Raw genomic sequence first — 12,576 nt, 5'->3', positions numbered from 1 at the left:
ATACTTTAAGTTCTAGGGTACATGTTCACAACATGCAGGTTTGTTACATGTGTATACATGTGCCATGCTGCTGTGCTGCACCCATTAACTCGTCATTTACATTAGGTATATCTCCTAATGCTATCCCTCCCCACTCCCCCCACCCCACAACAGGCCCCGGTGTGTGATGTTCCCCTTCCTGTGTCCAAGTGTTCTCATTGTTCAATTCCCACCTATGAGTGAGAACATGCGGTGTTTGGTTTTTTGTCCTTGCGATAGTTTGCTGAGAATGATGGTTTCCAGCTTCATCCATGTCCCTACAAAGGACATGAACTCATCATTTTTTATGGCTGCATAGTATTCCATGTTGTATATGTGCCACATTTTCTTAATCCAGTCTATCATTGATGGACATTTGGGCTGGTTCCAAGTCTTTGCTATTGTGAATAGTGCCACAATAAACATACGTGTGCATGTGTCTTTATAGCAGCATGATTTATAGTCCTTTGGGTATATACCCAGTAATGGGATGGCTGGGTCAAATGGTATTTCTAGTTCTAGATCCTTGAGGAATCACCACAGTCTTCCACAATGGTTGAACTAGTTTACAGTCCCACCAACAGTGTAAAAGTGTTCCTATTTCTCCACATCCTCTCCAGCACCTGTTGTTTCCTAACTTTTTAATGATTGCCATTCTAACTGGTGTGAGATGGTATCTCATTGTGGTTTTGATTTGCATTTCTCTGATGGCCAGTGATGATGAGCATTTTTTCATGTGTAAAAACCTAAATTCTAATCCTAGCTTTGCTACAGAAGAACTCTGAGGATTTAGGCCACTAAAATCTTTGACCCTCATGTTCCTTGCCTGTGAATTATGGTGCAAAATAGACCATTTCTAAATGTGCGTCTAGCTCTCACTGATCTCTAAGGGGTATTAAACACACAGTGTGTTCTTGATTTTCTCATTGGAACAGGCAGGTGATATTGCCAAGCACTTGGTGTTTGGGGCCAAATGATCAAGAGAACAGTCAAGGTTTAGAACAAAATTTAAAGGAAATTTCCTGGGAAGCAGAAGACAGATAAGGTAATAATTTTGTTTGCTCAGAATAGTGTACTTTTTGGCAGTCATAACAAATTCTATTTATTCAATAAAGAAAAAATATAAATATATATATGATTGTAGGACTTCAAATATGGTTCACTAAAAACTTGGTATACCCAAACAAATAATCAGGCTCTTATTCACCCCCAAAAGTCCCAGGCTTAAAGCCCTTTCATGCAGTTGTGGCTTTGTTGAGTGATGAAATAACTGGGAATATAGCTAGTTGATGAAAAATTTATTCCTATGTTAGAAAAAAGAAAGTCAGCATAGATCTTGTCATTCTCTAGACAAATGCAAACCTAGTTTAACATTTGTTTTGTGTCCAGTGAGTATTATAAAAATGCATAGTGGTATAATAGAACATAGAAAATAAAAAGTCACTTTGACATCTTTAACATGTGGAACCTTGAGGAACTTCATAGATAGATACCCTTATAAGACTGTAGCACTCTAAAAAGGGCTATCAAAATGTCCACGCACATGGTACCTGCTTTAATGAAGAGCTCAGTACCAGTTTCAGGCAATTTAAAAATCTTAGCCTTTATTATATAGACATTAAGTCAAATTATTTTTCTATTATGATCCCTTTTGAAATAAGCTTTAACACATTTCTAATGCTTTCTTCAGAACAGCTCATATGAATTAATAACTTTTTAAAAAAATTCTTTCATTTCAATTTAATCTGAAAACTTTAGATCTCATTCTCAGGGAAAAATTACTTTATTGCATGTAAAGTAATTACAAATAGAATATAGTTCACAATTTTCTTCCAAATTAAGCTTGAGCCTCAATAAAAATATTTTTAAATGCCCAACAATATTCAGTTATTATTTGCCATGTTTCTGTTTTCATGGGAAGATATAATATGTTTAATAAAAATACATATCTAAAAGGAGAATCCGATTTGTAAAATTATAAATTCTAGTTTTCAGTCAAAACCACCCTGAGCGTGAACTTATCAGAATCTTGTCTGAGTAACTACAACCCCTCCCCCAACCTTAAAAAAACACACCACAGCCCCACTCTCCACCGGTGTGGCCAAACCAAGGGAAATGAGAAGCAGGAATGTAGCTCACAGGTCAGAGCCAAATACGAAGAGTAAAAATAGTACCTTGAGCTTTCAGAACCACAGATTTTCAAAGTGAGCCAGAGGGCAGAGCAGCAGCTACATTTTCAAACAGAAGTAACTACATCTTTCTAATCAACTGCCGTGTTATGGAACATAAACTGCAGGAAATGATGGCTTAATGTCCTTTTATGTATCAGATAAGCAGGAGGAAGTATCAGTGGTGTGCTTTACTTAGTGAGAGAAGCTTAATAAATATATTTATTTATTTATGTCCTTTAATGCAGTAGAATGCTTTTCAAAAACCATTCAACTTGTGTGTACACTGACCAGAAAATGTTCTATATAAAAAACTGTATTTTGCTTAGGTTTTGAGATGAATGTTTCATGAGATATCTGTATATGTATTAAAATTATTTAAATATGAGGAAAATGTGGTATTTGTGGTGTATTTCTCTAAAGCAGGATTTTTCAACCTTGATACAAGGTTGACATTTGGGACTAGATAATTCTGTGTGTTTGGGGGGTTGTCCTATACACTGTAGGATGTTTAGCAGCATTTATGGGTTCTACCCACTAGATGTCATTAGCACCTCCACCCTCAGATGTAACAACCATGATGTCTCCAAATATTGTCAAATATCCCCTGGCAGAAAATCATCCCTGGTTGAGAACCACTATTTAAGGAAACAAGATAGCATAAGCTTGGTCAAGATTACACACTGGTGTTTTGTCAGTACAATTCAGAAAATAAAATCCAGCAAATAATGTGCTCTTCACAAAGCTATTTTACTGTTTCTTAATTATTGAAACTTTTTCTTATTTTTGTTCTTCTTAAATGGATTAGTTATCCTGGGTAGATTACTAAATAGTTTTAAGTAGTTGAATAAATTTGTTATGAGAGCTAAAATTCCTGACATACCACTGCCCTGACATATCAGCAAAATGATAATGATGATGTTCAATTAAATGTATCAAATAAAAGCCTGCAAAATTCAACAGACTGAAGTCTATATTCTGGAATTTGACAGCAAAAAAAGTTGTGTAGGTTATCATTTTTTGGCAAAAAGGCCCCTAAGTACACTTGCAATCAATGGCTACATGCGTAGTTCCAAATGTCGTCTTTATTACTTCTGTTTAAATCTGTCTCTAGAATAGTCTCCAAGAATGTAGCTTTTTTACTTTGGAAACTCTTACTCAGACAGATCCCCAGTAAAGCTTGGTAATTTAGTAGCTTAAGAACAAGTTCCTCCTTCTGTCTGCCCTTCTTTCTCCCTTATATGTGAGGAAAGTGGAATTTCACAAGATGACTCTATTCAAGAGTCTTGATAAAAGTCGCCTTTACAAATGCTTTTACACTGTTTTGGGGAGTGTAAATTAGTTCAACAATTGTGGAAGACAGTGTGGTGATTCCTCAAAGATCTAGAACCAGAAATACCGTTTGACCCAGCAATCCCATTACTGGGTATATACCCAAAAGAATATAAATCATTCTGTTATAAAGATACATGCCCATGTATGTTCATTGCAGCACTATTTACAATAGCAAAAACATGAAATCAACCCAAACACCCATCAATGATAGACTGGATAAAGAAAATGTGGTACATATACACCATGGAATGCTATGCAGCCATAAAAAGGAATGAGATCATGTCCTTTGCAGGGACATGGATGGAACTAGAAGCCATTATCTTCAGGAAACTAACACAGGAACAGAAAACCAAACACCACATGTTCTCACTTATAAGTGGTAGTTAAACAATGAGAACAGATGGACACAGGGAGGGGAACTACACACCTTGGGGCCTGTTGAGGGTTGGGGGAGGGAGAGCATCAGGATGAATAGCTAATGCATGTGGGGAATAATACTTAGGTGATGGGTTAATAGGTGCAGCAAACCACCATGGCACATGTTTACCTATGTAACAAACCTGCACATCCTGCACATGTATCCTGGAACTTAAAATAAAATTTTAAAAAGTCACCTTTATGGGTTTTGTTTTTGTTTTTACTTTTGCTTTTGGTTTTTCAGTCAGGGGAATTATTGATCATTGCTAGACATTAGGAGGTGGTAAGAATGCAGTAAAAAGAAATTTGACATTGTTTAGAAAGACTTCTGAAAACGAACACATTGAAAATATTGCATATGTGGGCCAGGTGCGGTGGCTCACGCCTGTAATCCCAGCACTTTGGGAGACTGAAGGGAGTGGATCACCTAAGGTCAGGAGTTTGGGACCAGCCTGGCCAACATAGTGAAATCTCGTCTCTACTAAAAATACAAAAATTAGGCAGGCATGGTGGCGGATGCCTGTAATCCCAGCTACTCAGGAGGCTGAGGCAGGAGAATCACTTGAATCTGGGAGGAACAGGTTGCAGTGAGTGGAGATTGTGCCACTGCACTCCAGCCTAGGCAACAGAATGAGACTCCATTGAAAGAAGGGAGGGAGGGAGGGAGGGAGGAAGGAAGGAAGGAAGGGAGGAGGGAGAGAGAAATAGAAAAGAGATAAAGAAAAAGAGAACGAAAATATTACACATGTGTATCTTAGCAACTTCAAATTTCCTTTTCCTTTTAGTATGAAGCAAAATTCTAACGTTCCTAGAAAGTGTTAGACCTGTCAACCTCCAGGAAGGATGAGATCTGCTTCCACACTGCACAGTGTCCAGAAGATCAGGACCATGTGTCACTTGGTTCAAAGATGACTTCTAAGTGGTACCTGGAGATACTGAAGTAGGTCATGTGGTTTTGTCTTTATTTTCAGAAGAATATATTGTGTTTCATAACTCTATGTTTTTCTATATTATCCACAGAAAAAGAGCATGAGTCTTTCTGATTCTAGGAAGTACTTCTGTCCTAAACCAACAGTAGTTTCAGCTAAATTCTTATATTTGAGGCCATGTTCTCAGGTATACAACACATAAATGAATGAAATATTTATTCACAAGACAATATGCACCCTTTTCTCTTAAAGAAATAAACATGTGGCACATTTCAGACAGAAGCTAAACACAAAAGTTTTTGCCCAAAAATACAACACAGGAAACAAAAGTACTAGAAGTATGAAAAAGTACTAGCAAGAACCAGTTGTCCACTTAGGTAAAGGGGCAGGAACTAAAACTCTTTTGTGGAGGTTATCCTGTTTCTAAGTATAAATACTCATATGTGGAAGTATCCATAACCCATGTGAATATTACATATTTTGTTGTCCTTTCTACTTTTAGAGCTATTACTGTAAAATTATAAGTACATTAGAAATCTAATGTGCAGATATAACCTTAATGAGTAACCCAAAGTTCTCATTCCTTATTTCTCTTAGGTGCAGATTTTAATCTCATCCTAGAAAGCTAGAATATGAAAACCAATGATTTACTCAGGGAATGAGCCTGGTCTACCACCCAGGAGCCACGTTTAAAGTTATTGTTTTATTTCCCTCATTCTCTTCTTATTGTAGAATACTCCCTAATTATCCCAAAGTACTTATTTTATTATGGTAAAAAATGGGTCAGAATACATACCTATTAGAATGGCTAAAATCCAAAGCACTGACAAAGCCAAATGCTAGTGAGGATGTGAAGCACCAGGAACTCTCACTCACTGTTGGTGGGAACGCAAAACGGCAGAGCCACTTTGGAAGACAGTTCGGCAGTTTCTTACAAAACTGAACATACTCTTGTCATACAATCCAGGAATTAGTTTCCTTGGCATTTACCCAAATGAGCTGAAAACTTGTGTCCACACAAAACCTGCATGCAGATGTTTATAGCAGCTTTATTCATAATGGCGAAAACTTGGAAGCAAACAAGATGTCCTTTAATAGGTGAATGGATAAACAAACTGAGATACATACATACAGTAGAATCTTAGGCAATAAGAAGTACACGACTAAGGCATGGAAAGACACTAAGGAATCTTAAATGCATATTGCTAAGTGAAAGAAGTTAATCTGAAAAGGCTACATACTGTATGACTCCAACTATATGGTATTCTGAAAAAGAAAACAGTACAGAGACAATAAGAAACCAGTGATTGCCAGGCTTTAGGGAGAGAAGGAAGAAGATGAAGAACAAGTGGAGCACAGAGGATGTTTAGGGCATTGAAACTACTGTGTATGATACTGCAATGGTGGATACATGTCATTAAACATCAATCGAAACCCACAGAATGTCCAAACAACAGTGAACCCTAATGTATATTATGAACTTTAGTAATAATGCATCAATATTGGCTCATCATTTATTACAAAGGCCAGCTTCTGGATGCCAGGACTTACTTTTATCTTTTTCAAAGCTTACTGTTTTTTAAACTTACATATACTCTTACAACAGTTGTTACTCAACTAACCTCTAATGAATGTAGTCTCTGATGGGTTAACAATACAGTTGCCTCTCCCTACTCACATGTTCTGCATCCATGAATTCAACAAAATGCATATCACAAATACTGAAAAAAGAAAAACCCCAAAATAAAAAAAATACAAATAAAAAATACAACATAACTATTTACATAGCACTTACATTGTATTAGGTATTATAAGGAATCTAGAGATGATTTAAAGCATATGTGAAGATCTGCATAGTTTAAATGCAAATACTATGCTATTTTATATAAGCGACTTGAGCATCCACATATTTTGATATCCGCTGGGGGTTAGGGGGTCCTGGAGCCAATCCCACAAGGATACTGAAGGACGACTATACTGCAAGTGTCCCCAAATCACAATCTATCAGCAGAGATGGAGGGAGACAAAGATTCACATTACAGATGATAAGTGTTCCTTCATTTTGACAAAGAATTTGCCAAAGGTGAAACTGTTGCTAAAGCTTCCTCATTTTAAATGGAAGAGTACACATTAACACTTAGATCCAAAGTGAAGGCCTAGAGATGAGCAGTTTTTTGCTGCTGAGATATGGTAATAAGCAATTAGGAAGTCCTGTCCTCTCCAGCCTGCTCCACTCTCATTTCCTTAAAATATGATTCAGGGATTCTGAGAAAGTTGGTCACCAAAAGCTCAAATTGTCATCATATTTATCTGATAAAGTTGTTCATGTCCTTAAGATATATGTTATGGAGCATATCATTAGTTTGCTAGCACTGCCATAAAAATGTACTACAGACTGGGCAACTTAAACTTACTGAAATTTATTTTCTCACAGTCCTGAAGACTTGAAGTTCGAAGATTAAAGTGCCAACAGAGCTCATTTCTTCTGAGGCTTCTCTCCTTCACTTCCATCTTCCTCCTGTCTCCACATGGCCTTTCCTCTGTTCCTGTTTTGTCTTAATCTCTTGTTCTTTTTTTTTTTCTTTATTTTTGGAGATAGAATCTCACTCTGTCACCCAGGCTGGAGTGCAGTGTTGTGATCATGGCTCACTGCAGCCTCAATCTCCCAGGTTCAAGTGATCCTCCCACCTCAGCCTCCTGAGTAGCTGGGTCTACAGGTGAACGCCACCATGCCCAGGATTTTTTGTTTTTGTTTTTCTTTTTTAAGACAGACAAGATCTTGCTATGTTGCCCAGCCTGGTGTTGAACTCCTGGGCTCCAGCGATCTGCCCACCTCCATCTCTCAAAGTGTTGGGATTACAGGCATGAGCTACTGTTCCTGGTCCTATCTCTTGTTGTTATAAGGACACCAGTCGTATTGGGTTAGGGCCCACCCTAATGAGCTCATTTTAACTTAATCATCTCTTTAAAGACCTAATCTCAAAACACTGTCACAGTGTGAGGCACTAGGAGTTAGAATTTCAACATATGAATTTTGGAGGGTTCACATTTTAGCCCATACCAAGGAGCTACTATGTGTCGATCGTTGTTCTAGTCAGTGCTGCAAAAAGGCAATGGGCTGGGCAAAATCAAAACAGGACCAAAAAGCCAGGAGTGGAGGATAATAGATTCAGTCAGTATCTTGGGTGATGTAGGGCTCCCAAGACTAGCTGAAGATTTAAATCAGAGAAATTATGTGAAATTTTTATCATGGAGTGCTTATTGGGCTTTGAGGTGGACTTGGATTGGAGGCAGAAATGAACGGTTAAGAGGCTAAATCCAATAGAATAAGTGAGAAATAAGGACCTGGAAACGGTAGTAGCAATAAACAAGTTTACAAAGATTCAAGCTATTTTTAGGTGGTAGAATTAAAAGAATTTATTGACATCTCAGAGGCAGGTAATAAGGAGAAGGAAGCATTAAGAAAAATTCCCAGAGTTCTCACTTAGGTGATTGAATAGATTGTGATGTTATTAACTCAGATGGAAAAATCCAGGAGAAGGACAGATTTATAAGGAGTCTAATCTGGGTGTTTTAAGTCTGAGATTCTCTTGGAGATAGCCAGTAAGAGTGAAATGTAAGTCTGGAACATGCGAGCGATGAATAGGGCAGAGATAATCATCTTGAAGTGATCAGAATGTAGTTGAAGCCTTGAAAGGAGATGAGCTAACCCCGGGAAAACACAAGAGTAAGAAGAGGTAGAACCTGATGAAGACCAACAGGAGGAGAACTGCTCATGAATAAGTCAGAACTGTATGAGTCCAGAGAGGCTGGTGCCATGGAATTCAAGTTTGGAGAGAGCTTCTAGAAAGATGAAGTATAAAAGTTAGTAGGTGAACTGGTGAAAGTGATGGGATGTAGAAAAAATGTATCTTGGGTGATTCTTCCTGGCTGTTTTATCAAAAAGCCAAGGCCAAAGGAAGACATAGCCTGAGAAATAGTTCAAGTTTAGTGCTATGAACTCATTGACTTTTCAGTCACTCAACACAAATAGTTGTCCTTTAAGTGAATTTATTTGAAGAGTTTCCTAACACATCACTTACTATTATGCATTATGAAAATACAATTTTTAAGTATCCACTGGATTAATAAGTGACAACCAAAAATGTTGCAAAAAAAAAAAAAAAACTCTGCCTATTGGATTTGGAAATAAGAAAGGCAGTGGAAAACACAATATGAATAGTGCAAGAACAATGAGAAAAGAAGCTGAAAGAGGGTTCAGAAAGAATAGGTGTCTCAGTCTATTCAGGCTGCTGTAGCAACTTACCTTACCCTAGGTAATTTATAAACAATAGAAATTTATTGCTTACATTTCTGGAGGCTGGGAAGTTCAAGATCAAGCCACCAACAGATTGTATATCTAACAAGGGCACTTTTCTCATAGAAAAGGCCTTCTTGCTATGACCTCACATAGCAGAAGAGAAAAAGGAGCTCTTTCAAGCCTCTTTCATAAGGGTACAAATCCCATTCATGAGGGCAAAACCCTCATAACCTAATCACTTGCCAAAGGCCCCATCTCTTAAAACCATCACCTTTGGGGTTAGATTTCAACATGAATTTTGGAAGGAAACAAACATTTAGACCATAACAATAAGAAATAAAGAAATTAATACAGCAATAAGCTCAGTTATAATTAAATGGGAAAACAATGTATCAAGTAGAGTGGCTGGTAAGGGGAAGAAGCTTCTAGATAGGAGAAGTTAAACATATTATATGGAATAGTGTGTGTCTTGGAAGAAACAAGAGTAGAAGGATCCTGAATATTGGTCTAGCCTTGAAGAGTAATAGACCCATTTTCCCCTGACACTGGAGGAAGACAGATAAGCATATGTATATGGTTATAGAGTAAATGTTTACGCTCTACTCATGATAATACTGATGAAAAGAGATGTATCTTTAACTTCTCTGTTGATGTTAGAAGAGAAGCAACTCCACAGAAGAAAGACCTGAAGAGGGCAAGACCCAAAGTATGGTCACAGAGGTAAGGTGCTGAAGTGGGAAAGAAGAAATGAATGCCATTTCAGACCTGCCAGGCAGGAACTGTGTGGCTAAAGGTGTAGAAAGGGCTATTCAAATAACAACAATAACCAGCAATAGCTTCCACATTGAGCATTTGTTATAAAATGTGCTATGAAAAAAAATACTAGTATGTAAAACTATTTGTAAAAATAAAAAATCAAATAAGAACTTACAAAATCTAGTTAATGAAAACCAAAACAACAGTAAAGGAGAATATTCACTACGAAGAAGTGAGTATTCCCATTTTACAAGGAAGAAATGAAGCTTCAATGATTAATCCAGGGTCATTTTGCTAATAACTGGTGCATCTGGGATTTGATCCAAAGTCGGTCTGATTTAGAAACTGTGCTATCCATCATTTTCCTCTAGTGTGGTTACACATGGATGTGGGAGTCCCTCAGGGTGTTGGCAAGGCTTACACTAGGGGTTCTGATGCTGATGTCTTCAGGAAATGTTGAGAAGGCCTTTGAAGAAAACACCCTGAAAGCCTGGAGAAGATAGGTAGAAAGTGGTAGCTAAAGAATCTTTAGCTTCAAAGGAAGAATAGACTTTGTTTAGAAATAAAAAAGTAAACTTCTGGAGGTGATAATGGAAGCTGGAGAAAAATCAGCACTTGGCTGTGTGGGCACTGAGTAGTTTCCTTTACTTTAAAAAAACAAAGATTAACCTTTGTTTTTTGAGACTGTAGAGCTTTGAGGGCCATTTTTAGATTTTTGTCCCACAGAGACTGTTTCAGTTTTGGAAAATCCATCCCTGAGCTTGTCAGACGCATTGAAATATACCAATCTCAAGTGCAGTTGACTAGTTGACATATCTTCTTTTGTAGGTATTTGATAAATATCCATTATTTTCATTGTTGCAGATTTCTTTTTGTATTTCAAAGCAAAACTTATTTTTCAGCTCCCAAACATGTTTTTGGCCCTGAAAGAGCCCTTAATCCCTGTCCCCAGGTGCCGTGTCTGCAGTGGTTACTGGAAAAAATGAGCCTGGTTGCCTCCCTTCAGCATGTGTAAAGCTTGATATTTGACAGCAGTATCACCTCCAATGAGCATTTGCTGGTGGTTAGATCTAATCAGGTTTATAGATTCCTGCCACAGGCCTTCAGAAGTCCAACTTATTTCTTTTTTAAGATTCCAGTATTTCTTGGGCTTTGCTTTAATCCACATATAAGTGTCATGTCACCTTCTGAGGGCCTTCAGGGAAGGACGTGACATGTGCTTTATTCCATGAGCTCACTTTTGGACTTCTCAAAGATTTCTTAGAAAATACTATCTTGTATATTTTATCAGGTAGTCAGAGATAATTGAGCAAATCAATACTACCAAGCACAGAAATTATTTTCTTAGTGTCATGCCTGGCAGCAGCAAACAAACAAAATGCCTACCATGTGTCAGATTCTCATGGTCCTGGACACTGTCACGTTCATTCTGTCATTTAATATTCCTAATAACTCTTTGAAGTCGAGATAATAATCTCCAATTTGCAACTGACAAATCTGAGACAGAGATTCAAGTGAGTTGCCTAAACCCAGGTAGAATAGGAGAGAAATTCCAAGTGCCCCTAACAGCAGTGCTACTGAGACATTCAAGACTTTAATTTTTTTATCTTTCTTACTTTGGTAAAAATATCTTACGTGTCTGAAATAATCTTTTTGTATTCGATGTGGTGTTAAATGCATCTGTGACTATTCGTACACTTGTAAATAGTTGTGGAAACCTAATTTGATCTTGCTTCTAAAGAAATTATAACTGGATGTAGAAAAAAATGGGACAATAAGTCTTTTAAATTGTAAGCAACAATTTCTTGCCTCCCACATTCCCAGTGTAGCTTTTTCCGCCTCTATAACTCAAAGAACACGACTGTCTTCCATTAGAATAAATTGTTTTTGTCAGCACGCTTTTCCCTGTGCACTTCTTGAATTTGCTTTTCTATTTCCTTGTTTAAAAATAGCTCCATGATGAGCCTATATTTCAGCTTTGATATATTTTATGAGTGGAAAGGAAATTACAGATATTATATCACTTAATATTACTGTGTTAACAAAAATGTAAACTCTTAGAGGGCAGGTATTTTTGTGTGTTGTGTGCATTGCTATGATCTCTGTGCCTAAACTGTGTTTAATACAATAAAAGAACACACAAAAAAATTTAATCAGTCATAAGATACATTAGTTTTACTCTCTTCTAGTATCCTTGCATTGGCCTTCAAAACTGTACCCATTTCTCGAATAACTCCCAGTAAGTCCTTCCTTTGTAAATGGTCCTATATAAGGTAAACAAAGTCTGACTATGTAGTTGGAGTTACTGCCTGAGTTTTACATATATCCTAGACTTGGTCTCAGTCACAGATTAATGAGCATTCACTAAGAGTTGATGTAGACCATGATCTCTAAGAGCACAATAATTCTAACTGTCTTTTCTTGGTCAGCTCTGCCTAGCCATCACTAGCACAATGCCCAGCACAAAGTCACCACTCAGTAGATATTTGTCAAATCAATAAATAATGACAGAATCCAAAATCGTAATAATTTATCCCAGTGCTCAGCACTGACTATATGTTTAATAAATATTTATTGAATTTCATTGAATATTGTGCTTAAAGAGAGAATCATGCCATGCATTCCAAATTAAGTAGGCATTACATTTGAATTA

The 12,576-nt window shown here is 37.2% G+C and overlaps 1 protein-coding gene across 9 annotated transcripts in view; it reads left to right on the top strand.

Moving 5' to 3' along the window:
* Positions 1-7,426, top strand: part of CCDC141 (coiled-coil domain containing 141) — a 235,160-nt gene extending 227,734 nt beyond the window's left edge. For 7 of the 9 annotated variants that reach the window (XM_047443998.1, XM_047443994.1, XM_047443993.1 and 4 more), the window contains 2 exons: positions 4,724-4,878; positions 7,302-7,426. The gene's annotated coding sequence lies outside the window, so the exon portion shown is untranslated. The remainder of the gene's footprint in view (positions 1-4,723; positions 4,879-7,301) is intronic. The other 2 variants (XM_047443992.1, XM_047443989.1) reach the window with 1 other exon arrangement.

The sequence above is a fragment of the Homo sapiens genome, chromosome 2 (genome assembly GCF_000001405.40).
Source record: "Homo sapiens chromosome 2, GRCh38.p14 Primary Assembly".
NCBI classification, from domain to species: domain Eukaryota; kingdom Metazoa; phylum Chordata; class Mammalia; order Primates; family Hominidae; genus Homo; species Homo sapiens.
The sequence above is the reverse complement of the archived record's forward strand: the minus strand, read 5'-3'. Positions and strand labels throughout refer to the sequence as shown.